The 27,506-nt window shown below is 61.7% G+C and overlaps 1 protein-coding gene across 28 annotated transcripts in view, besides 5 other annotated features; it reads right to left on the bottom strand.

Moving 5' to 3' along the window:
- PTP4A3 (protein tyrosine phosphatase 4A3) overlaps positions 1-27,506 on the bottom strand; it is a 40,434-nt gene that overhangs the window by 10,104 nt on the left and 2,824 nt on the right. For 2 of the 28 annotated variants that reach the window (XM_047421288.1, XM_047421301.1), the window contains exons 1-3: positions 5,812-6,225; positions 4,994-5,090; positions 6-963 (exon numbers count right to left, since the gene is read on the bottom strand). In XM_047421288.1, coding sequence (XP_047277244.1) covers positions 6-110 — 105 coding nt within the window. In that variant the 5' untranslated portion in view covers positions 111-963; positions 4,994-5,090; positions 5,812-6,225. Of the gene's footprint in view, positions 1-5; positions 3,963-4,319; positions 4,443-4,993; positions 6,226-6,754; positions 6,951-8,798; positions 21,781-27,506 lie in introns of those variants that run through there. The other 26 variants (NM_001438241.1, XM_047421303.1, XM_011516803.2 and 23 more) reach the window with 18 other exon arrangements.
- Positions 6,099-11,104: an enhancer, noted in NCBI's record as "VISTA enhancer hs1882". NCBI's record gives its function as "enhancer in: blood vessels[8/8]" and the evidence as "EXISTENCE:transgenic organism evidence [ECO:0001131][PMID:17130149]".
- Positions 6,658-7,617: an enhancer, noted in NCBI's record as "H3K4me1 hESC enhancer chr8:142424834-142425793 (GRCh37/hg19 assembly coordinates)". NCBI's record gives its function as "activates a minimal SCP1, AML or CMV promoter by ChIP-STARR-seq in naive H9 embryonic stem cells {active_cell/tissue: H9 hESC(naive)}" and the evidence as "EXISTENCE:reporter gene assay evidence [ECO:0000049][PMID:30033119]".
- Positions 9,538-10,385: an enhancer, noted in NCBI's record as "H3K4me1 hESC enhancer chr8:142422066-142422913 (GRCh37/hg19 assembly coordinates)". NCBI's record gives its function as "activates a minimal SCP1, AML or CMV promoter by ChIP-STARR-seq in naive and primed H9 embryonic stem cells {active_cell/tissue: H9 hESC(naive and primed)}" and the evidence as "EXISTENCE:reporter gene assay evidence [ECO:0000049][PMID:30033119]".
- Positions 14,544-15,044: an enhancer, noted in NCBI's record as "H3K27ac hESC enhancer chr8:142417407-142417907 (GRCh37/hg19 assembly coordinates)". NCBI's record gives its function as "activates a minimal SCP1, AML or CMV promoter by ChIP-STARR-seq in primed H9 embryonic stem cells {active_cell/tissue: H9 hESC(primed)}" and the evidence as "EXISTENCE:reporter gene assay evidence [ECO:0000049][PMID:30033119]".
- Positions 18,678-19,441: an enhancer, noted in NCBI's record as "H3K27ac-H3K4me1 hESC enhancer chr8:142413010-142413773 (GRCh37/hg19 assembly coordinates)". NCBI's record gives its function as "activates a minimal SCP1, AML or CMV promoter by ChIP-STARR-seq in primed H9 embryonic stem cells {active_cell/tissue: H9 hESC(primed)}" and the evidence as "EXISTENCE:reporter gene assay evidence [ECO:0000049][PMID:30033119]".

Below are 27,506 nucleotides of genomic sequence, written 5' to 3'. Positions count from 1 at the left end.
CTCACCTCAATGAAGGTGCTGAGCGTGGCGTTGGTGGGGTTGTGGGTGATGAGGAAGCGCATGTGTTTGTAGCTCACCTCCACCGGGGCCGGGCGGTTCATCCGAGCCATGGCGCCTCCCGACGGGCCCGGCAGGGCAGAAGGGACTGCAGAGAAGGCTGGGGACACGACCTGAGAAGTCCCCACACACCCCCAAAAAATGAGGAGAACGAGATCCCTGTGCTTGTCCAAGAGAAACGAGATTTAAAAACCCACCCCCATACCCCGCACAAATATTGTGCAAATACTTGGGTGTGGGGGAGGAAGCTGCCCACTGTTTGGATAATTAAAAAAGAAAACCCAACTCTTAAAAAAGAAAAGGAACAAAACAGCCCGCCGCCCCCCCCAACCCAACCAAAGTAAAGCGGGCAACTCCAAACTCCCGTCTCTCAGAGCTGGATAGTCATAAAGAGGCAAAAAATAAAAAGAACAACCAAAAAAGCTCAGCAAAGAAAACTTAAAAACTCAAAGTGAACCCGGCCGCCAAGCAGTGTCCAGAGCTGGACCCCACACCGGGGGCGCCCTCTCCACATTGGTGGATGGGCAGACAGCCCCCTTCACTCAGAGGTGGGCCCCAAGCCCCCAAGGGCCAGAGGAAGAATGAACTTGAACTGAACCAACTCCAGCTGCCTTGGGCCAGGGGTCACGGGCAGTGGCCGTGGGGACAGCGGCCTCTGACGTGTGGGGCCTGTGTCACGTTACCCCATCGGGGTACGGTGAGTCCTGGAGTGGGGCAGGGGGCTCAGGCGGTAGAGCTGGCCCCAGGCTGGGCAGCAGAGGCCATCGGCAGGCGAGGGCAATGGTGAGAGCCAGTGGCACGGGGACCCCTCAGCAGGAGGCGCGGCGACCCTGGGCGCAGCAGTGCTTAGGGCTGGGCCCCGTGGCCCACTCCATGAACCCCAGGTGGGTCCACAGCACACAGCATCTGTGGGGAAAGACGAAGGAAATGAATAGAAAGGGATCACAGGGGGCCCCGCCTCCCACAAGGGGTTCATGCCTGTCATGAGCCCACAGTCACAGGCGACACCTCTCCCAGAGCCCTCCTCCTGACCATGCTGAGAGAATGACCCTTTTGGGTCTATTTCCTTATATGGGAGCACAAGGAAGCACGGCTCCTGCCAGGACTGACCCAGGGCCCAGAGGCGACAGGGTAGCCACCACACAGCCAGCAGGGCATGACGGAGGACAGAGGGGACAGGGATTTCAGGGACACACACACCCCCGAGGACATGATGAACCCCAGCACACAGATGACAGATCCCTCTGTGGGGACAGAGGCCGAGTTCCTAAGAAGCCTGAGCCTGGCCCCTGCCCACCTGCTGTGATCTGCGGAAACTCCACCCCAGGACAGCTGCCCTCTCCTCTTCCGATTCTCAGCCACTGTGAACATCTGAGCCCAGGTGTCTCTGGGTGGCCCATCCTCAGGGAATGGGGCCCAGGCACTCGGTCAGTGCTGCCAGCACAGGGAGGTGAGGGGCCTGGCCCCACACGCGGCCGTGGGCCACCCTAATCGCCTCTTGCTTTCTGCAGAAAGTCTCCTGCCTGTCAGCAGCCCCCTGTCCACCAGTGTCCCCCCGCCACTGTGTCTCCACTGCTCACACAGGTCTCAGCCAGGCTCGGGGATAAACAGGCCAGCTCTGCCCCTCCAGGAGCTCAGGGAGGCGGGGACAGAACACGCCAATGGGCCAGCCATCAGGCACACATGCCAAGGTGGTGACAGCACAGGTGGCCAGGAGTGGGTTCACACCATGACAGGGCCCTGAAGAGGGGAGGCGGCAGGGGGGGCCACAGCAACCCAAGGCACCTCCACGCCTGCCTCTCTCCCTTTCTGGGTCTCATGACCCCAAAGCTCCCAGGCAAAGGGGTTCCAGGAGCACGCAGCCCCCTTCCCTCTCTACGGAAGGGCTGGGAGGCCTTGAGCAAGGTGCCGGCCTCTTTGTTACCCCATGAGCACGATGAGGGGTGACACAAGTGACCCAAGCTGTATTTGGGCACTGCTGCTGAGGGGTCCCCGCACTGCTGGCCCTGGCTGTGACCCAGCTGTTAGCAGACTCTCCAGCCCCCTAGACTCAACCCAAGCCCGGCCCTGTCACTACTGCCTGCTACCCAAGGAAAGGCACTTCAGGGCCCCTCGCCCAGCAGAGCCCTCCATTCCCCAACCCACCCCCTCTCACCTGTGCCCCTGCCCCAGCCCCAGCACCCCCTTCCCAGCTGCCCACCAGGCAGGCTGGGCCCTTGGAGCTTCAGCCCAGGTGCAGGTAGGGCTTGAGGCCTGGGCCCCTGGACTCAGAGGGTGGCTACCTGGGACAGTGGGCTCCTCCCTGCCTGCCCTCCACACCCTGGGTGGCAGCCAGTGCTCATGGGCTCAGAGCAGCCGCCACACCTCAGGCTCTGTCCACTGCATGGTTCTGGGAAGGTTAAAATGGGCGGTGGGTGTCAGGCGCAGTGGCTCACTCCTGTAATCCCAGCATTTTGGGAGGCCAAGGCGGGCGGATCACCTGAGGTCAGGAGTTCAAGACCAGCCTGACCAACATGGAGAAACCCCATCTCTACTAAAAATAAAAAAATAAAAAATGAGCCAGGCATGGAAGTGCATGCCTGTAATCCCAGCTACTCGGGAGGCTGAGGCAGGAGAATCGCTTGAACCCTGGAGGCAGAGGTTGCAGTGAGCCGAGATCGCTCCATTGCCCTCTAGCCTGGGCAACAAGAGCAAAACTCCGTCTCAAAAAAAAAAAAAAAAACCGGTGGTGGGGTGGGACCCCCAGAAGGAGGTAAAGGTGGAGACAAGGATACTGTCCCTGGTCCCGCCAGTCCCCACCTTGCCCGACTGGAGGGAGCACAGGCTCTGAGTGTGGGTGAGGGAAGCCACCACGTGCTAACAGCACACAAACACCTGGGTCCCTCTTGGGGCAGCAGGATGTCCCTGTGTGTGTGCACACGGGAGCCGAGCTCATGTTTACAGAAAGAAAGGAAGAAAAGCACCAGAGAAACCACAGTATTGGGCCTCTCCCTGAGGGGCTGACCAACCCCTCACACCTACAGCTGCCAGGGACCCAGGAAGACCCCACAGGCACCAGCACGTGGCCTGGACCTGCTGCCTAGTGGCCCTGCACAGGTCCTCAGGGCTGCAGGCTACTGGGAGGGAGGAGGCTCCGAACCACCCCACACTACCCCCCACTGAAGGCCTAAGGATGCCACACATCTGCCGGAATCAGGGGGTTAGCCTGGGCTACGCTCAGGGGTCACAGCCCAGGCTAGAATGGGGTTAGGGGTCCAGGGAGAGGCTGGACCAGGGTCTTGCCACACATCCCACTTGTCTCTGCAGCCTAGGGCCCCTACCCCTGCCCCAGGTGAGAGCAAAGCAATGATGCCCTGGCACCACTATGTGGCTCTGCCCTGCCTGGTGGCTGTCCCCCAAGGGAGAAAACCCCTCCATAACCACACGCCCCCAGTGAGGTCACCAGGTAGGGCCCTGAGAGCAAGGGTTAAGGATCCCCAGGGATGGGCACTGAGAACTCCCTGAAGCCAAAGCCTCAGGCTTCCCATCTGCGAAATGGGGACAGGTTGCCCCTGCCTCCATGTGTCCTGAGTCGCTACCACCCCCACCAGGCCCGCGGCCCACAGCACGGGGACCCACTGGCAGCCGTGGCCCCTCTTTCCCTCCTGCTACCTCCTTCCCTCCTGCTACCAAGCCCTGCAGAACCCTTCCCAAGATCTGGCTCAGCCTCCTCGGGCCAGCAGGCCCAGAGCCCTCAGCTATTTCTCAAGACCCTTTAAGGGAGAGTCCATCCTTGTCCCTGTTTGCGAGATGAGGAAACAAGCCAGGGAGAGGGGAGAACATTCTCCACCAGGGCCACACCAGGCGTCCAGTTAACTGGGTTCTCTCTGGCTCAAATCTAGGAGGCAGGAACAACACGCAGCGCCCTGCACAGAAGAGGAAATCGAGGTTCAGGGAGGCTACCGCCCTCCTTCCCGATGGCACAGCAGCTTAAGAAGTTTGAATCCAGCCCCCGCTTCAGACAGGGCGCCCCCTGTGATTTTGGGGGAGGAGGCTGGAGGCCCGGGGCTCAGCGGGTCTCAGGAGAAGTAAGCTGCGCCGCGGTCAGGGCTGAGGCGGGCGCTCTGGGGAGTCCCGGGGAACCAGTCGCGGGTGGGGTCGTGGTAAGGGGCGCGGCCCCCTCCCTGGGTGCCAGCGGGGCTCCCGCCCAGCCCTCCGGAGGGCGCCACCTCCTCCCCGGCGGGGCTGGGGTCCCGGAAGGCCTGGGTCCGCCGCGTCCCCACCTGCCAGGCTCACCCGCGCCGCAGGCGTCCCACCGCCTCCATACGCGCCGGCCTGGCGGTGCCCACGGTGCTGGCCCTGGGTCGGGGCGCCGCCCCTCCGCCGCGGAGCCGGCTCCAGGCGCTGCCGCCACCGCCGCCTGCGGCTATTTATAGCGCCCGGGCGTCACGTGGGGGGCGTGACCGGCGGGCGACCCGGCTGCCGGGGGCTCCCACACCTGCCGCCTAAATATAGCCGCGCCCTGCCCGGGAAACAAAGGGGCCGCGCAGGGCGGGCGCGGGGAAGAGGAAGCCCAGCCAGGAAAGGGAAGTGCGGGGCGCGGCGAGGGCCGGGGGCGCTGCCGCCCGGGACCCCTCCTTCCTCCCGCCGGCCGGCCCGGCGCCCTCTCCCGGTGCGCGCCCTCCCTAGAACCTCGGAGCTCCCCCTGGCCCCCTCATGGGGCTGCACGGGCCTGTGGGCTGGGGGTCCGGAGGGCAGGAGCCGCCGGGCCGCGCTCCTGGTGGGGAGGCCTGGACAGAGCGCGCCCAGCTTTGGAAATGGAAATGCGGCCCCGCCGTGCAGGTGCTGTCCTGCACCCTGAGGAGGAGGGCGCCCGAGTCCCTCCAGTTCAGACCCCCTGCCCAGCCCACCAGCCCCACCGCCCGGGCACTCCTCCATGAATTTACTCAGCACCCACCGTGCCAGACACTGCTGTCCCCTCACTTAATCCTCACGACCCCGCTGTGGCTGGCTACGCTGGTCTCTCCTAGCGTACTGGTGAGGAAACTGAGGCACTGCAACGAGGAACACCCTGAGGTAACACCGGCAGGCAGGATTCAGCCAGGCGGCGGGCTCCACAAACTCTGAGGCTCGGCACTGATGCCCCCTCTTCCAGGAAGCCCTCCCAGACCCTCTCAAGCAAACGCCTCCCTGCGACTCCTGGCTCTGCCTCCTGGGAGCATTGTGCCGGGAACTCATGTGCTCCCCAGACTATGAACCCCAGGGATGCAGCTGGCATCACCACCCACTCTGTGCCCGCCCTGGCCACCCAGGGCCCTCAGAGCAGGGTGGAGCGGCAAGGGTGGTACCCCCAGCACAGGGTCCCTGGAGGTGTGGCCCTGCTTGCAGCTCTCAAACAACCTGGTCCCTGCAATCTGAGGTCATCAAGGGGCCCAGCTGAGAGCACGACCCCCCCTCCCCCTGCCAGGCTCTCCCCACCCACACTTCCAGAAAACATCACCATCAGCCTGGCCCAGCTGTGCCGGCAACCCTCGCCTCCTCCCACCTCCAGGTGGGCAAGCAGGCTGGGGAGCAGAGGACAGGAGGGCTGTGCCCAGTCTGAAGGGCCCCATGGGAGCCTCCACCCAAGGGCACACCAAGCCAGGTAGCCCTGCCTGCCAGCTCATGGACCCCCAAGGGTGTGAGCTCCCTGGCAAGGGCACCCACCCACGTGGGTGCACCCAGCTCCACAGGGAGACGCTAGGCTCTGACTCCTGCCCAGTGCTCTCAGCTCACCACTTCCAGCAGCGTCTCCCTGAAGGTTGAAGGCAAGAATGGGTCAGCTTCAGGGACTCTGCCCCACCAATCTCCAACCTCAGCCACTTTCTAAGGATACCAGGCTAGACACTGCATTCCACAAGCAAGACACACACCTGCCACACTGCACTGACAAACCATAACAGCACAGAGAAGCTGAGCAACCCTTCTGAGTCACACAGCCAGAAGGCAGAAAAACCACATTTGGAGCTGGGTCTTGCTGCCCCCGAGACCCTGCTTATCCCCACCCTAGCCCTCTGGGAGAGAGGACCTCTGGGGTAAGCTGCTCCTGCCCCCCAGCCTCAGTTTTCTTATCCATAAAAGGGGTCTCAGAGTGAAAGTTCCCATCAAGCTCTGTGATGCTACAACCAGACAGAGCCCGTCGCCTCTGGCGCTACAAAAGTGGACCCCAGCATCCTCATCACCCCCACCCGGGCTCCACCCCCTTGCCTGGGGCCCTCTGGCCGGGCCTGGGAGGCACCTGCTGCAGCTGGCACAGCCCCAGGCCTTTCGGAGAAGTCTATTTATAACCAGGCAGGAGCCGTTCCTGGAATCCTCCCAGAGCGGGCCCAAGTCCGCCCATTGCTAGGGGGGCCAGGAGGGGAGACCCAAGCAGGCCAAGCCCACGCTTGATGCACTAGGACGCCTTCCCGGAGTCCTCCAGGCCCCTGCACTCGGCAGCTCCAAGGGCCCAGCCTCCTCACTGCCACATCCCCCCATGCCATCCCATCCCCTCTCCCCACCCCACCCCACACCCTCTCCCCACCCCACCCCACACCCTCTCCCCACCCCACCCCACCCCAGTCCCCACCCCACCCCATCCCCTCTCCCCGCCACGCCCCCTACCCTTCACCACCCCTGCCCCCTGCCCCCCCGCCCCGCCCCCTGCCCCCCGCCCTCCGCGCACGTCAAAAGGGCCCACCCGGAGTCATGTGGGAGGCGGGGGCGCGGGGCTGGGCACTCCCCCGAAGGATCCCGGAACGCTCCGGCTGGGGCCTCGAATAGGGACCGGGGCCGCAGGGTCCCAGGGCTGCGGCGGGCACCCTGGTCCCGGCCAGAGGGCAGGAGGGTCCCTCCAGCGCTGGCCTGGGCTCTGGGGCCCACGGGGGACAGGGCGGTCCCTAGGGCCCTGTAACAGCGGGAGCGAGCGGGAGGGGGCGGGAGGGGGATGGCGCACGGAGACCCAGGCCCTGTAGTTGGGGTGGGGAAAGACTGGGGGCTGTCCAGGGCTCCGGCCTGTCTCCCCACTGCCTGCTGCAGGCTGGGAAGAGGGTCCCAGGGCCCGTTCCTTGCCGCGCTGGAGGGAGCCTCACTGCATCCCCACCACTTCCACCTGCCCACACAGAAGGGCCCGGACCCTGCAGCCTGCCCCGGCTTCACTCCCAGGTGGCAGCCCTGGGCTCAGCAGGCCCTCACTTCATCCTGTTGTCCCCATTTCCTCCAGGAGGAAGTGCAGGGAGACAGGGGAGGCGACTCAGTGGACCCCACCCAGGCCCCCCGCCACCCACACCCAACCCCCACCCCATATACACAACTTCTAACATAGTTCCTTCCGCAGGAAGTGGGAACTCCACCAGTGGAGGAGGGGCTGTTCCTGCAGTCCAGGGCCCGGGTCACTTGCCCCTCCCCCATCAGGATGCTGCCCTAGGCCTGGTGATATCAGGAGGGGGCGGAGCCCTCGTACCTCACCCTGGAAAGGATGAGGGGGCGTCTCTCAGGCCAGCCCAGCCCCCAGGACTCTACCTCCTGGGGCAGAGAGCGGTCACTAAGAAGTCCACCCTTATCCCTGCTCCCCCCAGCCACCAAGACAGCTGCGCCATAACTCACCACCCCCTGCCTAGGCACCCGATCCACCTGTGCCAGTCTGGGGCTGCCCAACAGTCCCTACCCCCCCCCCAGTCCAGGGCTCTTCCCAAGCTCAGTGCCCGCATTCTCCTCAGCCACCTGCCCGAACCTCTCCTGCTCCTCAAGACCCCGGCCAGGTGCAGAGACTCACACACCTGCCACCAGGCTGCTGCTCCCACGTGCCCTCTGTCTGGCTGCCCTTCTCTCTCCCTACCGGGCCACCTCTTCCAGCCTCCCAGTGAGTGAACCTCCCCTGCCCCAGCCACCTTCCACCACTACAGTCCCAGAAGCCAGGTCTACCCACCAGGCTGGGCCCCCAGACCCTAGGGCCACACTCGGCCCCTTTTGATCTCCCCATGGGAGGATACAAATCTCAGGGGATTATTGTACACAAATGGCCTAATGTCCAGCGAGTGGACAGGACAGCTCCACAATGGCAGGCCAAGTCGGTGGCTCAGACAGGACTCCCAGTCCAGTGCTCATGCCTTACCTCCCAGGATGACTGAGAAGCCAGTGTGGAAACCGCCCAATGGGAAGCTCTGGCAAGCACACACACTGACCTGCATACACAGAGATGTGTGCTCACGTGCACACACACACACACACACACACGCCACAGAAACAGATGACCAGATCAGATGCCTGTGCCGGGAAGATGGGGACCCCATTGCCCCGCAGCAGTCCAGCCCCACGACGCCCACCAGAGCCTCCAGGGACACCGTGAGCCCGAATCCTCCATGTCCTCCTGTCCACACAGCATCTTTACACCAAGAGCCCTGAATCCTCCATGTCCTCCTGTCCATACCGCATCTTTCATCTTGCCTGGAAGGCCTCTGCCCAGGCTGGAAGGAGGATGGCACAGCCACACCAGCTGTGGACCAGTCACTGCCCTCCCTGCGGCAACCCTGACCCATCTTGGAACAGACACAGCTGGACTCCTGAGTGTTTCCAAAGCCATGGCGTCTGTAACATGCAGGTTCCCAGGCCACACCCAGACCAGGTGCCCCACTCACATGCGCACACGTGGCCCCACCTTGCCCTGGGCAGGAGGGAGCCGTGTTCTGACGGCCCTAACCCTCCCTGCCCCCAGCCTCCCACCCCAGAGCTCTGTTATAACACACCTGCCAGCAGCAGCTTCCGTTAAGAGCCAGTCGCTCTGGAGTACGGGGTGTTGGGTCGGAAATTGTGCGGCTCCAGGATTCCAGACAGGAGGAAGCCCACATGAAGCCTGCCCTGGCCCTGGCATTAGGCCTGCATGCCCACGGTCCTGCTGCCTTCCTCCTGGGCCCCATTTAGCCAGTGCCATGCCACCCACATCCAAGGCCCCTGAAGGCCAGTACCCAGAAGTGGGCATGGTGTCCCGGAGGGCATGGAGTTTCATTCGGAGCTCACAGCCTCTGAGAAGGAGCCTCTCCCCGCCCCAGTCCCTGAGGCCCTGCCAAGAATGCAGAGGCCCCCAGCAGGCCCAGAGGAGGCCCCTGATCTGGCCTCCCGGAGAGTTCAGGGCCTCCCTGGCACACCAGGCACAGCCCCTACCCCTTCTGTGCCACACACCAGTGGACCCTCAGCAGACACAGCTGACTCCAGGGCAGGAACCGACCCCCAAGCTCTCCAAGGGTCCGCATGGCCTGATGGTCCCTCCTGCTGGCCGGAGGAGGCTGCCCAGGAAGGTCCTCACCCACCAGCATCAGCCAGAGGCCCCAAAGTGGTCCACAACAGGGGAAGGGCATGAGGCCAGCCCTGAGCCCACTGGGCCTGGCTAAGCCTCCACCCCAGGTGCCCCCTGGGAACTGCAAAACCGTCCCGTGCATGCTGTGTGCCTCTGGGCCCCTCTCCTGAGCTCCCAGACCTTGTTAGTCACCCACACAACATGAGAATTATGAACCCATCACCAGATGAGAATACACAGGAACTGCCCCTGGCAGTGCCCACAGAGTTGTCACAGAGGCTGAGAGGGCAGGGTGGGCAGTGGGCGAGCTCGCTGTGGGAGGGCTCAAGCTAAGCCTGCTCTGCAGAAAGGATCCAGAGTTTGGCTGAATTCCATGTGCCTGCCTGGATGGAGCCAGGCCTTGGGCCCACAGGGCCTCTCCACGGAGAAGAGGCCATGGCTCCTCCTCGGGACCCCTGGACCATCCAGGGGACAGGGCCCTGAGGGCCATGAGCATGCAGCCAGCACTAGGCAGGCAGGCAGCCCCTGCTTGCTGTTCCTGGCATGCCTGACCCCAAACCCAGGAGCAGACTCACACCCCACCCAGCACCTTCACGGGAACAGGAGTTCTGCCCTCTAGCAGGGGAGCCAATCCCTCACGCCCACCCAGCCACCCATGCTCACTTGGGAGGTGGGGAGCTGGGCCGGCCTGTTCCTCCACAGTGGGACCCTGTCAGCAGGGTGTCCAGGAAGCTTGTGGTCCCTGAGGGTGGCTGGACCTTGGGGCCACTTCCACCATACCCAGACGCCCTGGACAGGGCAGCAGGCATGTACACCTCTGCTGTGTCACAGAAAAGGAAGAGCCCACGCTTAGCCACTGCCCAGCGCAGCACCCCCATATACCCATGACGCCCCTCCCTGAACCCAGTGTCCAGTCCCATGGAAGGCGGAGAAGGCCCAAGAACCCCTCTGTGTAGTGGCCTCGCGTGGTGCCCTCAGCACAGGCAATGCCCATGTCCATCCTCAGAGCAGTCCTGGAAGGCGCCCATCACCCCATTTTGTGGATGAGTAAACCGAGGCTCAGGCTGTGCAGTCAGCGAGAGCTCTGAGAGGCTGAGACAGGATTCAGGGCCTACCCAGGGTGGGCACTTTCTCTGCATTTTCTTCTTAAAACAGCCAAGCCCTACACTCCATGTCAGCCCCAGCAGGCGCGGTCACCCTGTGCTCAGTCCCTGGGATCCCTTCCTCTGTGCCACCCAGGGCCCGTGGGGTCGGGGACAGGAAGGGGGATCGAGATCATGGAGCTAGCCAGGGCCACTGGCCGAGGCTCTAGTGGACGCACGTCAGAGGGGCCTGAGGAACCGCGGGAAAGAGCTCTGACCTGGCCTCGGGAGGCCACGTCCAAAATAGCCAGCCCTGCACGGTGAGGGGACTCAGCCGGCATGCACGTAGGCCTCTTGGCCCCAAGCGCTGCCAAGCTGGCTGCGGAAGGTCACAGCTATTTCTGGGCTGGCCCGATGGTGAGACGCAGCCTGGCACCCCCAGAGCCAGTGCACACGGCGCCACTGAGGCCCAGGGGGATAGGGCTACCCCCAGGACACATGGTGGAGGGGCTGGAGGGGCCCGCAGGTTCCCCATGGTGCCTAGATCCTACTGGGGGGACCAGTGCTGATGGCCTTTCCTCTCTGAGCCAGCTCCCTCCCAAAAAGCACGTGCAGTGCTATGAGTGGATTGGTTTCATAGTCACATCACTGGCTTTTACAGGCCACCACCATATGCCAAGCCTTGTGCTGGGCACTTGGGTTGACAAAGAACCAGACCTCGTCCCTGAAACAATCAAGAGGGGGCAGAAAAAGCGGGGCTCGGCCACTGTCTTCAGCTCCTGTGACCCTGGCATACAGGAGGAGGGTGGTTTGTGGCAGGGAGGCTGCTAGGCACACACAGGTCCACCCCATGCACACAGAGGTGCCCCACGCCTTGCCAGCCCACAACGCCAGTGCTGCCAGCACTGACTCAGGCTCCATCTACCCTGGGTCTTGGCCTTCCCCATCTGACAAATGGGGAACCTGAGGCTCAGAGAGGGTGCGAGACTCAGCCAGTGACCCCGGCTCAAAGCTCAGCTCAAAGCCAAGGCAGGTGGGTTCTCTGGGGTCCAGGGGAGGGGACAGCTCCTTTCCACCCGCAAGGCCTGGCCATTGCTCAGCCCATGGCCACTGTCCTCACACAGGGCTGTGTGACCTGGTTCCCCTCCTGGCTCCCCATTGTGAGCTGTGTGATGGGTACATCCCTCAACCTCGCTGTGCCTCAGTGTGCTCATCTGTAGGATGGGTTCGCTGGAAGGCTGTCCTCTGTGCCTCAGTGTGCTCGTCTGTAGGATGGGTTCGCTGGAAGGCTGTCCTTCATGGACCTGCCCTTGGTTTTCTCCTGGGATCTGAGGGACATTATTACCCTTTCCAAGAGGCCTCGCTTGAGTCCCTGGAACACTGGCACTTTGCCAGGTACCCACAGGGGCTGTGAGGACACCGAGCGCCCCAAGAAGACCACAGTTCCCAGCAGGTGCCTCAGAACCCTCAGGGGAGCCTGCGTGGATGGGGCTTCTTCCCCGCAGGGCTTCTTAAAGCCCCTGTTCCTCCACAGATGTGGGGACCTCAGAGCCAGGCAGGTGGCCAGCAGGGCATTTCTGGAATGTTTTTGAAACCAGGCACTAGCAACAATGGTGCCTCACCGAACCCCACCTTGGCAACTCCAGATTGGGCCAGCCCCACTCCCCCAGTCTGGCTGGGAGCCTGGGGGCCGGGGCCTCCCGACTCCTGCCCGTCTGTGTGGCTGTGGGCACTTCTGTGATCCTGGGGCCTCATCCATGACACAGAACCTCAGACAGCCCAGGCCATGGCATGAGGGGGTGGCAGGCAGGCCATGTGGGCTGTGACCGCGGTGACCGTCCGCAGCAGGGGCTGGGCAGAGCCAGGCCTGGTCACCTCCCCGACCCAGGCTGTATGTCCCCATGTTCGTCACAGCCGTGGTGACAGTGGCTTGAGGGTAGCAAGTTTAGCTCCCGGCTGCAGGCATTGGCTGCCATGACAACAGCCAAGGCCAGACTGGATGCCCAGCCCAGGTGGGTGGCAGGCAGGCACTGCCCCAGGGAGTGGGCCCCCGCAGGCACCGCTGGGCACCCAGCCACGGCCCCTCGCCAGCGCAAGCAGGGCAGGAGGGGGCCTGGGTCACATGGTGCATCCTGGGAGCTGGGCACGCTGGGCAGCCTGCACTGCCCGCTTTGAGCACCTGCCCAGCTCCCAGGAGAGAAGGAGGGGAACCATCAGAACCAGCGGACCTAAGGGAGACCTGCTCTCCCAGGCATCTGAAGGCTCAGCAGGCAGGTGGGGAACACACCAGGGAGGGGCCAGAAATCCACAGGCGCTTTCCAGAGGACCTCAGCTCAGAACACATCCTGCCAGCCTAGGGGCTATGTGGAGCCCTCTGCCATCTTATGCCCTGCCTGCACAGCCCCTCAGGGGCTCTGGGCATCGCCGTGGTGCCCAGAAGGGGTGGGCAGGAGGTCGGGCCACAATCACCAGGCCTGCAGGCAGACTGGGTGCCGGGTCCACAGATGGAGGCTCCCATCCCTCCCATCCCCCTGCCCCACCAGGAGCTGCCACCAAATAGCCCTGGACCTGAAGGGTGGATCTGGGGATGGAGGGAGCTCACAGGAGCTGATCCCTACCCCGCCAGCTCCAGGGCTCAGAGACAGCCCCGGGCCAGGAACTTTGCCCTGTCTGGCAGTGCTGTGGCCAGGCCATTCACACGGGCCTGTTGGATGCTGCAGCTCCCAGGCCTCCCCTAGCAGGGCCCAGGGAGGACTCGGGAAAGGCAGCGGTGGGTCAGCACCTTGGGGACTGAGAGGCCCTCAGGCCACACTGCCTTCATGTTGGGGCCAGGGATCCCCAGGGAACCATGCAGACTGGAACCCCACCCTCCAGAATCAAATGCCCCACCAGTCCACCCAGATGAGCAAAGAAAACAGGTTATACACATCAGGGCGTGGTGACACTACACGGCAGCGTGGGTACCTCACAACCTTGTCTGTGCCTTCACTCAACTCCCCAGTGGCAAGGCACTCTGTGAGGGCCGGGGAAGGGCCTTCTCACTCTAGTCTCTAGCGCACACCAAGCTCCTGCCCTGCCCTGAGCCCTGGGTGGGTGCCAGCATCCCTCTGTTCCCCAGCAGCTGGTGACGTCCCCACAGCACTGGGAACCCGGGGGCAGGGCAACGACACTTTCACCCTATTTTACGGACTTCTGAGAGCTGCTCAGGACAGAGTCTGTGTAGGCGGGGGTGCTATCCTAATTTATTTTTTGAGATAAAATTCATAACACATGAAATCCACCATTTTAGTCTTTTTTTTTTTTTTCAGACAGAGTCTCGCTCTGTTACCCAGGCTGGAGTGCAGTGGCACGACCTCAGCTCACTGCAACCTCCGCCCCCGGGTTCAAGCAATTCTCCTGCCTCAGCCTCCCAAGTAGCTGGAATTACGGGCGCCCATGACCACAACCGGCTAATTTTTGTATTTTTAGTAGAGACAGGGTTTCGCCATGTTGGCCAGGCTGGTCCCAAACTCCTGACCTCAGGTGATCCGCCCACCTTGGCCTCCCAAAGTGCTGGGATTACAGGCGTGAGCCACCAGGCCCAGTCATTTTAGCCATCTTAAAGTGTAACCTTCAGTGTTTTTAATATATTCACAGTGCTGTGTAATCATCACCACTAATTCCAGAACACTTCCATCGCCCCCTCCCACCAGCAGTCACTCCACCCCTCCTCCCCCAGCCCCTGGCAACCACAAGTCTGCTTTCTGTCTCTGTGGACTTGCCTGTTCAGGACATTTGCTGTGAATGGCCTCACACACCACGTGGCCCTCTGCGCCTGGTTCCTTTCGCTTCTCCTGGCGTCGTAAAGGCTCAGCCACGGCGCAGCCTGAGTCTGTGCCCGCTCCACCTGTTGGCCGCCTATATTCTACTGCAGGAGTGTGCAATCTTTTGGCTTCCCTGGGCCACGCTGGAAGAATTGTTTAGGACCACACATAAAATACACTAACGCTAATGATGGCTGATGAACAACAACAACAACAAAAAACCTCATGATGTTTTAAGAAAGTTTACAAATTTGGCCAGGCACGGTGGCTCACGCCTGTCATCTTACCACTTTGGGAGGCTGAGGCAGGTGGATCACTTGAGGTCAGGAGTTTGAAACCAGCCTGGCCAACATGGCAAAACCCCATCTCTACTAAAAATACAAAAATTAGCTGGGTGTGGTGGCGGGCACCTGTAATCCCATCTACTTGGGAGGCTGAAGCAGGAGAATCACTTAAACCCAGGAGGTGGAGGTTGCAGTGAGCCAAGATCCCACCACTGCACTCCAGCCTGGGCAACAGAGTGAGACTCCATCTCAAAAAAAAAAAAAAAATAGAAAGTTTATGAATGTGTGTTGGGCCACATTCAAAGCCGTCCTGGGCCGCGCTGCTGGCTGGGCAAGCTTGTTCTACTCTGTGGGCCTGCCACATTTCGTTTATCCTCAGCTGATGGACATTTGGGTCATTTCCAGCTCTGTCTGAATTTTACCCTCAGGGACTGAGCCAGGGGGCTGTGCAAGGTTGGGAAGAGGGCTACACCTTAACCATCACCCACAACTTCTGTTCTCCCAAGACCCCATTGGGTACGGGAGGTTGAGGTCCTACCAGATGCACCCTTACAGAAGCCCCAGCTTTGTGCCCACGTGTGTGAAGGAATGGAGAGGGCAGGAGAGGGACTGGAGGTGGGGAGGCCTGAGAGTCCAGGCCAGCATGTGGACTGTGGGGACACAGGGCAGGCAGGCAGAATCCACACCTTCTAGGTTCTGTCCGGGCTGTGCCAGGCTGCCAAGGGAGGATGCTGGGCAGGTCAGGGAGGAAGAGAGGTCCCAGTGGCCAGGGGAGTTGGGGAGGGACTCTCCAGGATCCCCAGCAGAGAGGGCAAAGGGTACCTCCCAAGGGCCTGACCTCCTCCCCTGGAGAGAATCCAGAAGGTGAAGGTGGCATCAGAGATGGGCCCTAGAGGACAGGAAAGATTTCTGAGCGCATTTTTGGAAGTTCAAAGCATAACCTGCATGACCTTGCACATACAGTGGGCACAGGGCAAAGACTTATTTAATTCGCTCAGTGGGAACAGCAGGAGGCAAAGCCGGCTCAGAGGAGGATTCAGGGCGAAGTGCCTACAGCCCTTGAGAGCTGGCAAGATGGATTAAGATGGAAAGAAGAGGCGGGCTGTCGGTGGCATGCAGGCAACACAGCCGTCACCACTCGCCATCTTCTGTGCCACACAGAATCCACTTGCACCTCTACCAAAACTGTAGTTCACGCAGGATGTCAATGAGTCTGGGCCCCGTTTGATCACAAACACTGGGGTCACATATCCCCAGAGTTGGCCTAATTGGTCCAACAGAGCAGAGTGGAAGAAGTGGGCATCCAGATGGGGGCGCGGCTTGAGCAAGGGCCAGAGGCAGGAGGGCAGGACTTCCCAGGGGGACACCCCAGGGAACTGCTCTCCGGAAAGGGCGGGCTCTGGGTGGCAGCAGAAAGAGGACGGCAGGACTTCCCAGGGGAAACCCCAGGGAACTGCTCCCCGGCTTCTCAGAAGTGCTTCAGGGCACGGACAGGCCTCCACAATCCCCAGTCCAGGCACATCACAGAATCAAGTGCAAGGTGAGGAAATGGAAAGTCCCCGGAATCCCCAGATGGGGCAGGAAGCAGCCGTGGGTGGCCGACAAGTGAAATGGTGACACCTGAGCCCAGATGCCTAAAGCCACCGCCCAGAGGGGCTACCGAGGGTCACCAAGAATCTGGGATACCCATCTGGCATCCTGGGTATCCCCACCACTGCCCCCACCAGTGTCCTCGACCTAAGTCAGATCATAGCCCCCTCCGCTCAAAGCCTCCAGTGGTGCCCGCGTCACTCAGGAAAGCCAAAAATCCTTATCGCCCTAAAGGCCCCACGCGAGCTGCTCCCTGCCCTCTGACCTCCTACCACTCCCCTCTCCTCATCTGCTGTAGCCTCACCTGCCTCCCAGCTGTTCCTGCAACTTGCCAAGCACAGTCCTGCCTCCGAGCCCTTGCACTGCCTGTGCTGGAGGCCAGGAGCATGCTCTGTCCCCACATCGTCCGGTGCTGGCCCCTTCTTACCACTCGGATCTCAGGTTCAGCATCCTCCTGTTCCTCCTGCTAGCCACCGAGACCTGTCCTCTGTCCCCCACACACAGTAGGGATCATCTGTCCCCCTTCTGGCAAAGCTTGTCAGCCTCTCTCCCCACGCAGGACAAGAGACCGGCCACAGCTCCACCCTCGGCTCCCTGGTTCTCAATGGGCACCGTACACAGCAGGTGCTGGCTCAGTGGATGTGTGAACATATTCGACTGTCCTGTGAGTGGGAGTAAGGCAGAGACAAGCATCCTCAGTGATGGATGAGGATGCTGAGGATGAAGAAAGGAAGACCCGCCCGCAGCCATTCCTTCTCACCCAAGCACTCCCAGCAACACAGTGACCAGGGCATCTGTGGGTGGACCCAAAGTCACTGCTTGGGTGGTCTTGGGGAAAACTGGCTCCGACCTCAGGGACCCGGAGGTTGGGGGGCCTGGAGGAAGGAGCGTCTGCTGGGTGTCTAGCCAAAATTGCCTGGGGAGCCCCCAAGGAAGACTGGACATGCCAAGCACCCAGAAAGAACTGGGGGCCACTTCTGCATGGGGCCCACAGGATCAGGAGCCAGGCATGCAAGGCCCAAGGGACCTGGGTCCCCACAGCCTCGCTGCTCCCTCACCAGGGGGCCAAAGCCCTAAACAGTCCCAGAGAGGTCCTGCTCATTCCTGGGTCAGCCCCTGCAGCCCTGTTCGTGACTTGTCTGTCCCTGTCATGGACTGTGGGCGGCAGACAGGGAGCGTTGACTGACCCATGCCAGGTCCCCAGGATCAGGCACAGGGTCAGGCCCAAAGCAGGTGTCAGTTAATGCCGTGGGATGAGGATTTCTGGCAGTTTAAATTACTTCTTGAACACTCCTGGCAATGTAGACAGTCAGTGCCCAATGAGTGCTGCCAGTTGGTGGTACTGGCAGCCTGAGTGCCAGGCGCTGCTCCATGCCCTTTATATGTAAAGGCTGTGTGGCCCCCACAGTGGAGACAGGTAGGTGCGGGAGGGAGCTCAGAGCTGGGACAAGCTGACTCAGAGCTGCCACTCCTACTTCCCCACGCACCCCATGGCTGCCTCCTCCTGGAGGCCCTCAGGGGGTCCTTGAGGATGGAGCCCCTGCCTCTGCAGAGATGCTCTGCCCCCAAGCCTCTGCTGACTCAGTACCACCTCCCAAGGACCCGTCCATTCTGTCCATCCAAATCCCACCTCCCTGGAGGCCCATTCACCAGCCCACACTTACTGGGCACCTACTGAATACCATGGCTATACTGTGGGTGCAAGAGAGCTCACGAGGAGAAAGGCTTAGTTCCTGGCATGACAGCAAACTTGGCAGAGCAATCAGGAGCTGGACTCATGGGGGCCAGAGACCCCAGGACCCCAGGACAGGGGGAGAGAGGCCCTCAGCTGCTGGGGGGCCCTGCCCCAATGGACCCTCCAATCCTATGAGAGTCCCCTATCCTTGATCCAGTTTCTACCCCAACCCCCTGAAAGGGGGAGAGGCGCAGAGGCCCCGAAGAGGGCCCACCTTGTCCTGCACCATCCGTCAAGTACAGCAGCTCCTCAAATAACACTGTTGCTTTCAACGTGGTTTTGTGATAACGCTGACGAGAAAAAAAAATCGCTTCCCTTTCAGGGCCATTGCGTGGCATGTGCACGAGCTCCCCAGGTCTGTGTGGGTTTTCTCCCTGTCCTCCGGCTCCCCCATACCCCAGTGCTGTGCACATCCGGTGAACAGGCGTGTCGCCGTGGCCCTGGCTGAGTGGGTGTGGCTGTGCATGGGAGTGTGCCCCGAGAGGGGATGGTGTCCTGAGCAGAGTCAGGTCCCACCTTGTGCCCAGAGCTGCTGAGACAGGCTCAGCCACTCATGACCCTGCACTGGAATTAGTGGGTTGGAAAATGAATGAATAAATGAATAAAAATTATTGCAAAATAAAAATTCGTCAAATAGACATAGTCAGACGAATGCGTGGCAATACAGGAAGCCGCCACGTTTGTGATCGTTTGATTTTGAAGTGCGTGGTGGCAGGAGGAGCTCCCGACCATGGTTGCCGTGAGATGTGTGTTCCGTTACCACTCACTGGCCCACGGAAAGCTGGGGAAGCAATTCTCTTCCCTGTTTAATTCACTTTTCTTACATGTATGTGTAGCTCACATTTACTTCAGTGTTTAATGTTAGAAGTGTTTGGGGTCTTCATTGGAAGCCTGGTGACGTTTTTGTGACCAGAAATACCTGGCAGGAACTTAACTCTTATCTATCTCTATCAACTTATGGGAACACTAGTGTCCTTAAACCAATTTTCACTTAAAACTGGCATCGTTTTGCTTAAAGCCGCAGCTTCCAAGAACTTATGGATGATGTGATGTGAGGACTTACTGTACACCATGCCCAGGAAAAAAGTCTGGGGTGCCCCTGTGGCCAGCCTGGGCCCAGCCAGGCCATCTCCCCAGGCTCGGGACTCTCAGACCAGAGCCTCCCCCAGAATCCCACAACATTCTCCCATCTCAGCAGCATCAGCAACACCAGGGAGGGCAGTGCCACGGCACACACGGTGCCCAGCCTCCTTGGCCCCGCGCGAGGCCGCTGCAGCCTTCCTCTGGGGCTGCGTGCTGGTTGCATGCCCTCTTTCACTTACTATCTTGAATGAGTCAGGAAGGAGAGGCTGATGGGGCTCATCCTGGGGTTGGCCCAGGGCTCTGCGTCTCTGACCTGGGGAGCTGGCTAACCCTAAGTCCCGTCACTCCCTCCGAATCAGAGGCACCCACACCCCAGGGCTGCTGGGAGGCTGGACGGAAGAACAGCGGCCCTGGTGCACACAGGAGGTGCTTGGGACCAGCCAGGGACCCTCCTGAGACATCTATTCCTGCTCTGGACCGGCCCGCTGGCCAGGCACCCAACAAACAAGCCCCCGGGCTGCCCGCAGGCACCTGGATCCGCCAAAGGCCCGGTTCTCACGCTCACTTCCTCTTCAGGGGAGGCTGGGGATGCTTGCCAGGCCCGAAACCCCAAGACACTCTCAGGGAGGGCTTTACTCAAGACGATCATGAGTAGGCACCTTCTAAAGGGATGAGAAAGCGGAAGCAGGGGGGAGGGGTGGGGGGAAAGTGAGGAAAAAGGGGAGCAGGAGGTATGGGGGAGGGGAAGAGGGGTAGCCAGAGGCGGAAGGGCCAATCCTCAGCCTCCCCATGTGGGCGGGGGCAGGGCTGCCTGCCCCCACTCCACCCAGCTCCCGAAGGCAGGAGGCCGGGACAGGCGCGAGGCCGCCAAGAACACAGGGCGCAAGGCCCCACGGAGGTCAAAGATCCCCCTAGGGCCAGGTAGTCCCTGCTGGCAGTGTCTGTGGGAAAGGCCCTGGGCCTAGCCAGCTACACTCAGGCCTGTCAGTGGGCACTGGGGCTGCCACAAATGCCGGGGCAGCTGGACCCATCCTGTGGAGTGGAAACCCAGGCCCCTGAGCCCACTCCAGGAGGGTCCAGACCTACAGGGTTATCTGGGGGAGCCCTCCCTGAGCAGGGCGCCAGAGGGCTGGAGGAGGTGGTGGAGAGAGGGGTTCTGCAGGGCCACAAGTACCCCGACTGGTCCCATCCATGCCTTCAGCCCCTGCCAGCTGTGCCTGCCCACCTCTCCCTTCACCTGCTCCACCCACACCTTGCAGCCTCAGACCCGTCACCCAGGGCGGCCTCCAATGTTTCTAGAGGCTGCACCCTCTGCTGGCACCCCTCTCCCCAACTCCCTTCTCCTGGACACCCCAGCTGCTGCCCAGGTCTCCTCCTCCAGCCCCGACCCAGGGTGGCTTGTGTGATATCAGGGGAGGTGTGGGATCCCGGGAGCTGGAGGAATGGCCCTGGCATCACGGGGCCCCCCTGGGCTGAAGCTGGAGTGGCCTCGTCCATGCCTTGAGACTGTGAGCTTCATGGGACTGGGCCCTGCTGGGGCCACAGCGGGGGAGGGGTAGGTGACTGTGTGGATGGACAGATGGATGCGCTCGGTAAATGGTTCTGTCCATGCTCCGGCCCACGTGCTCCAGTGCCTTGGAGCCCCGCTCCACCTGCTGTTCTCTGAGCTCCCTGCCCCCGCATGCTATCCTGGGACTCCACAGCACAGACCTCTGAGCCGATGGCTGTCCTCACAGGCCCGGGGCCCCTCGGGACGGCCCTTCCGGTGACTTCCTGCCAGGGAGGCCAGGGGGAGGGGTAAACAAGGCCTCCAGATGGCTTCCTGTGGCTGGGCAGCCGTGGGAACAGCCCGGCCCAGGGAGGCTACCAAAGGAGGGGAGGGTGGGAGCAGGGGCCAGCCAGCAGCATCCGTCAGCAGAGCATCTGCTGAGATGGACCCGCTGCCCTCTCGGAGCCTCCGACATGGCCGGGGGGACGTCACACCCTGTTTACAGAGGGGGACACTGAAGCACAGGCAGGCAAGTTACCCCAGGGCCAGCCCACCAAACCCAGTGCCCTCCCCTCCACACCAGAGACTCCCGTCTCTCTGGCCTCATCTGCAAAGGAGCAGATGAGCTGGCTGGCTAGAGGTCACCTCAACGACAGGACGTGCAGATGTGCAGGTGCCAGCTTGTCTGTCTTCCATCCCAGCACTGCCACTCCCCAACTGTGCTACCTAGCAGAGTGCCAGCCTCAGACACCAGCTTCCCTCCCTGGGAAACAGGACGACCATGGCAGCTGCCACCAGGGGACCCTGAGGTTTAAGGATGTGCCCTGGGTGAGCTCCGGCTGCTGGCCCAGAAGAGGCTCGCGACGGTGCCATTAAGAGTGATGCCGTTCCGTCAGGTCCTGGGTCCCCAGGAGGAGCCTGTCCTCACCCGGCTTGCCCCTTCCTGGTGCCTCGTGCATGACTCCCTCCGTACTGTGATGCCATCTCCTCCCAAAAGCCCACCCTGACTACCTGCTTCCTGCCCCACCACGACCTCTAAGTCTTGGGGACACATGCTCCAGGGAGGGAACTGCCATCTCCTACAAGTCCTACTCACCCATGGGATTTCTCTGGGGTCAGGACCGCCCCTCTCTGCCTACTGCCATCCCCACGGGGCCAGTGTGGACCCGGGCAGCCCCCCAAGAGTTATGGGGAGGCAGGAGCTACACAGCAGCCAGGATAGGGATGAAGGGGCTGGCAGACACACAGCCGGGCACCAACAACCCTCCCATCTGACCCAGGGTTCTGCCAGCGGGCCAAGAAAGACTCACCCCGGTGCCGAGACGCACATCCTGGCTGTCCATGGCCTCACTTAGGAGAGCCCATCATGGGGGTGGGGGGATGGCTGGTTAATAAACAAGCATCTGACCAGACCCAGAGACCAGGGTCCAAGGGTGCCATCGGGAGAGGACCCCAGTCAACACCCAGGGAAATTTCAAGTGACACTGTAAAACAGCACCCGAGGCCGGCACGGTTCTTGTGAAATGAAGCAGAAGCCCAGAGCTACTGCAGCCGTGTATTTCCCAGGCTGTTTGAATTTTTATAATGAACATCACCAAATGTGTGTCTAAAACAATAACCACGTTTGCGCCTGGCACAGTGGTGGGCCGGGCACAGATGTGGGCCGGGCACAGTGGTGGGCAAGGTGCAGAGGCGGGCCAGGCGCAGAGGTGGGCCAGGCGCAGAGGCAGGCCAGGCACAGTGGTGGGCCGGGCGCAGTGGCTCACACTGTAATCCCAGCACTTTGGGAGGCTGGGGCAGGAGGATCACTTGAGTCCAGGAGAAGCAGCCCGGCTAACATGGTGAAATGCCATCTCTACAAAAAATAGCTGGGCATAGTGGCGCATGCCTGTGGTCCCAGCTACTCAGGAGGCTGAGTCAGGAGAATCGCTTGTGCCTGGGAAGCGGAGGTTTGCAGTGAGCTGAGATCGTGCCACTGTATTCCAGCCTGGACAACAGGGTGAGACTCCGTCTCAAAAAAGAGAAAACAATAACTACATGTTTGAAGCGTTGTTCAAATGTCGCCTCTCCCCCATGTGAGCTCCTTGTGGGTCCCGCAGTGCTGCCATTGCACGTCCCCAGCCTGCCCCAAGAACACAACCTGGCAGGTAGGGAAACTGAGGCACCCATGGACAGCCCTCCCCCAGGTCACAGGCCTGGAAGAGAGTAAAGGGCATGCCACCAGGACCCCGTCCATCCATTGCAGTCACCGACTCAGAAGCAAGCAGCCTGGCTCAGGTGGCTGGAGCTCAGCTGCCAGGCCTTTGTCCTGATCCCACCCATCTGCTGTGGGGGCCGGGGTCTCCCCCAGGCTCCCCATTCTCCAGACACAAAAACGGAGGCCCAGAAAGGGCAGGAGCAGGGAGAGTCGGCAGAGCCAGGGCCAGGCCTTGTAGCTCCCCAGGGCCATGCGGAGGGGACAGGGAGGCCACCGAGGGGAGGGGCAGCCGGGAGCCCCGGGCACCCCCAGGGACCCCCTGAGCTCCACACGGCAATTCCCAGCAGATGGGCCTCTGGGCAGCTGGCCAGAGGGAAGCAAAGCCCGGGAGGAAGGGCCTCTGCGGCTGACCCAGGACGGGGAGATTAAAGGAGAAGATGTTTGCCTTGGCAGGGGCCCCAGGACCAGGCGAGCCAGAGGAGGGGGCCAGCGTTCCAGGCATCAGTAGAAGATGCCAGAGTGGGGGTGCCAGGAGTAAGAGGCACCGGCTCTAGGGGCAAGGGCGGAGTGGATGAGCAGGTAAAGCACACCGTGTGCCACAGGAGGGGTGGTGACAGGGACCTGAGGCAGGCGGGCAGAAACCCTGGGTGGGGTGGCGGGGAATCCTCCGAGCCCTCCCGAGCCTCTTCCAGGAAGCCTGAGTCACAGGAGGGACCCAGGGCCAGGAGAGCAGCCGGGAGCACCGGTCCCGTGGGAAGGGGACTGAGATGGGGACAGGGACAGGGCAGGGCCACCCGTCACCTCCTCTAGCTGGGCCAGGCCTGGCTTCGAGGTCTCCGTGGCGGGTGAGGACGAGGCCGTGGGAACAGGCTCCTGCAGCTCCCCAGAGGGACTAGGGGGTGGTAGAGCTAGACAGAGTGGGTCCAGCCCATCCTGCAGAAGGGGAAACTGAGGTCCAAGAGAAAAGCCTCCTGGACAATGACGTCATCAACTGAAGTGTCCCCTGGGCAGCCCAGGCCTGGACACTGGGGAGAACAAGGCAAGAGTCTCCCCAGCCAGGCCCTGAGCACCCTCATCCGGGGGTCTTCAGGTTCCAGAGTCCAGTTCTAGCACATCCACCCTCAGCCATGGACCCGAGACCCTCCAACTCCCAGGGTTAGAGACTTCCTCTTGATGCCCTATTTCCAGGACCCCACCCCAGGGAAATCTGATCCCCGCAGGCCCTGCTCCACCTCACCACCTCACTCTAGAACATTCCCTGGTTCCTGCCACTCCATGCCCCAGGATGGGAGTCAGGGACTTGAACCCTAGTATGCTGAGTCTGGGGTGTTCCCAGACGCCCGTCTGCCCACATCAGCAACGCTGGCTCCTGCAGGGGTGCTGGAATCTCTGGGAGTTGGAGGCTGTGCCTCAAGCAGAACCAAGCAATCAGGGAGTGCTTCCCAACTTATAACCACTCAAATGGTCCAGCCTCTTATTGGCAAGTGCAGAGCAGAGACTCCAAGGGATGTTATGCCCACCTCTGAGGGTCACCTAGCAGGAGACCTGGGCCCCACTGGCCCACTCCACCCCTCATCCAGCAAATAAACCCTGAGCACTGGCTAGGCCAAGCCCTGGGCAGAAGGCACAGGGGCCCTCTTCTTGGCCATCCCAACACCACTGGGCCCTGACCACATCTTCCAGGGCCAAGGGCTCCAGCCTGGGCACCTCCAAGCAGGCCTCAGGCAGACGCCTCCCTCCCTGCTCCGCCTGCGCTGACTGTCCAGGGTCCTGCATCCAGGTCTCGGCCCGTCCAGGACTGAGCCACACACAGCGAGGCTCACACATGATAAAGGCAGGAGCCGGGCCGACCCTGGACAGAGAGCGGGCTAGTGGTGCCAAGCCCTCAGAACCAGGGGCAGCAGGAGGAGCAATGCCCAACTCAGGTCCAATTTCTGCAAAACATTTTGTTCAACTCCCTTCCAGCTCTGATGGGCAAAGATAACAGAATCTCTCTGAACTATCCAGAAAGATCACTGCCTTTTATGGACAAGAACACTGGTCCCAAAGAGGTCGAAACCAGGCTCCACAGCCACCGAGGCACTCAGGCCCCAAGGCAGGGTTCTCATGACCAATACCCGCCCCGCCACCTGCCTTGTGAGGGTCTGCAGGGGACGTGCACCCCACCTTCACCTCCTGACTCACTGGACTCCCAACTGAGGCCAGCGGGGAGCATGTGCCCAGCGTGGGGCAGCCAGGTGGCGGAGTTGTCATTGTTCTGTACTTGTGGTAGGAGCTGGGCATGGCAGAGGCCCTTCCCAGCAGGACTCCTGCCCTCTCCCACCCAACCCCAACCCAGGACAGGCCTTACAGGCAGAAGTTTCAGCCCACCCGGGGGCTCCATTCAGGTCACTGGGACCTCCTTCAGAGAGCCCCCCACTGCCTGGAGCCTGTGTGACCTCATGAAGTGACAGAGCATCAGCCTCTCATTGTACAATGGGCAGGCAGCCTGTCCTGTTGTCACAGGGACCCACCAGGATGAGGTTGGCACAGCCCTGCACACCCTGGCAGCCACCTTCCCCGAGCCCCGGCTTCCCTGCGTGTAACACAGCTCTCACTCCGGCTCCAGGAGCCGCTCTGGCCCTGAGGAGGTGGCTAGAGCCAAATTCAACACAGATCAACCTGTGTTCATCCCCCTAGCCCTCTGGGGTCTTCCAGCCTGGCTTCCTCCCTGGCCGGGAAAACAGCAAGGGAGGAGAGGCTGTGGGCTCCAGGCCCCCAGCCAGCCCGGCTACCCTCCCACAGGAGTACCTGGCTCAAGGGCAGGTCCCAGAGAGCACAGCCCAGGCTGTTTCCTTCCCTGGATCGTTCATCCACTGTGTCTGGAACCCCAGCGGGCTCAGTGCACTCAGGACCCGCACGTCAGCTTGTCGGCTCCACACATGCAGCCCCTCGGGTTATGCGTGGTCTTGTCCCACGTGAGAAGGGAACACTGAGACTCAGAAGGTGACATGACCAAGCTGGCGTGGCCAAGCTAGCCCTTCCCGAGGCCACCGTCTCCCCACCCTGTAGCCCCCATCCCCACCTCATCTCTTCCTGGCCAAATCATCAGCGGTGCCCTTTGTCCCCCGTGTGCCTGTGGTGCAGCTGCTCCACTTGGCGCCAGCTCCTCGGGGCAGGGCTCGGGACTGTCCTGTTCCCAGTGGGCCAGAGCAGGCACACAGTAGGTGCTCCAGGGCTGTGGGCTCGGTGAGAGAGGAATGCTGGACGGGCTGCCCGGGGCCAGATTCCATACCACCTGATGACCTGGAGCTGCTCACCCCACTGGCACCATCACCCAAATGACCAGCACCCTCCCCTGCCCATTTACTGACCTTTCCCCAAAAAGGAGGCATGGCCAGCGTTCAAATTCCTGCTCTCCTCCCAGCAGTGACCCTGGCACGTCACTTCTCCCCTAGGGTCCTTCCCTGGCTCTAGGGCAGGACGGTAATATGAACACTTACCCGCCAGAGGTCTCAATCCTCTAGGATGAAGGGAGTTAAAATGCATCAAGTTTTACGTATGAGTCCATCACGGTCCTGACCAATGGCACCCACAGCCCAGATAATGGGGCCGGTTCTGGCTGTACCGCAATCACCAGGCACTGCCAAGGAGCCCCACCTTCACATGGCACGGGGTTACAGTCACGGCAGGGGTGGGGGTTACACATCAGGTTAGGCCTGCTTCCTCTGAGCCAGTGGCAGGGTTGGCGGGGGCAGGTGGCCAGGACAGGGTGGGAGAGGGGAGGCAGCCCCATCTGTCCCCAGCCAGGGTGGCCCTTGGCAGGCAACAGCAATGACTGTGCTGCATTTCCACTCCTTCTAGAAGCATAAGCCCTGACATGAGGGCACCCCTACATCTGGGGAAGACACCAGGAGAGGAGCCGGGGGGCATGGGAGCACCCCTACATCCCGGGAAGATGCCAGGAGAGGAGCCAGGGGACATCCCCACTGGGTAGATGAACGGGGGCTGCAGGAGGGAGGGGTGGCCCACGCACCTACCCCGGGTAGATGAACGGGGGCTGCAGGAGGGAGGGGTGGCCCACGCACCTTCCCCAGGTAGATGAACGGGGGCTGCAGGAGGGAGGGGTGGCCCATGCACCTATCCTGGGTAGATGAACGGGGGCTGCAGGAGGGAGGGGTGGCCCACGCACCTAAGGGGAAGTGGGGGTGCACTGGGCAATGGCCCCCAGTTCCCCTCCAGGAGGAAGGTAAACCTGAGGGCCCACTCTCAGGACCCCAGCTGAGCCCTGAGCCATGTGGTCATCCCTGACCCTCAGTTCCGCTTCCAAACCAGGAGGCTGCCACTAAAGCAGCCCAAGACTGAGTGGCACGTGCCTGGCGGGAAGCGATGCCCCACCTAGGGGTCCTTAGGGCCACACCCTTGGCTGGGAGGAACAGCCTGTCCTTATTTTCTGAACTGTCTTTTGTACAACAGCCTTGGCGCAGCTCAAAGGATAAGTGAGGTTCTCAGGGTCCTGACCTGAGGCGCCCCAAGGAGGGGAGACACGCGCACACTCTCTGCCAGGTGAACGCCTACTGGGCCATCGGAACCCACAGCTCGTGCCCCACCCACACTGGCACGGGCTGTGTCCACGTAGCCCTGATCCCGCTCGGCTAAAGAGCGCAGCTCTCAGCTGCCGTAGGTAGCTGCCAGGACCCTCCACCCTCTGCTCAGGCTCCTGGGTGGAAGGAAGCACCCGTCCCTGTCCCCGTCCCACCTTGGGGAGGCCCCCCTCTCTCCAGGGAGGCTGGCCTACCCGACTGGCAGGCGTGGGGCACACTCTGGGCCGCCCCCAACCGCACACACCCAACTCGCGGGGCGCCGAAGTCAGGCGGCGGCGATGCCAACCCGACCACGTAACTGTGCGAAGTGCAGT

The sequence above is a fragment of the Homo sapiens genome, chromosome 8, assembly GCF_000001405.40.
Source record: "Homo sapiens chromosome 8, GRCh38.p14 Primary Assembly".
Taxonomy (NCBI): domain Eukaryota; kingdom Metazoa; phylum Chordata; class Mammalia; order Primates; family Hominidae; genus Homo; species Homo sapiens.
The sequence above is the reverse complement of the archived record's forward strand: the minus strand, read 5'-3'. Positions and strand labels throughout refer to the sequence as shown.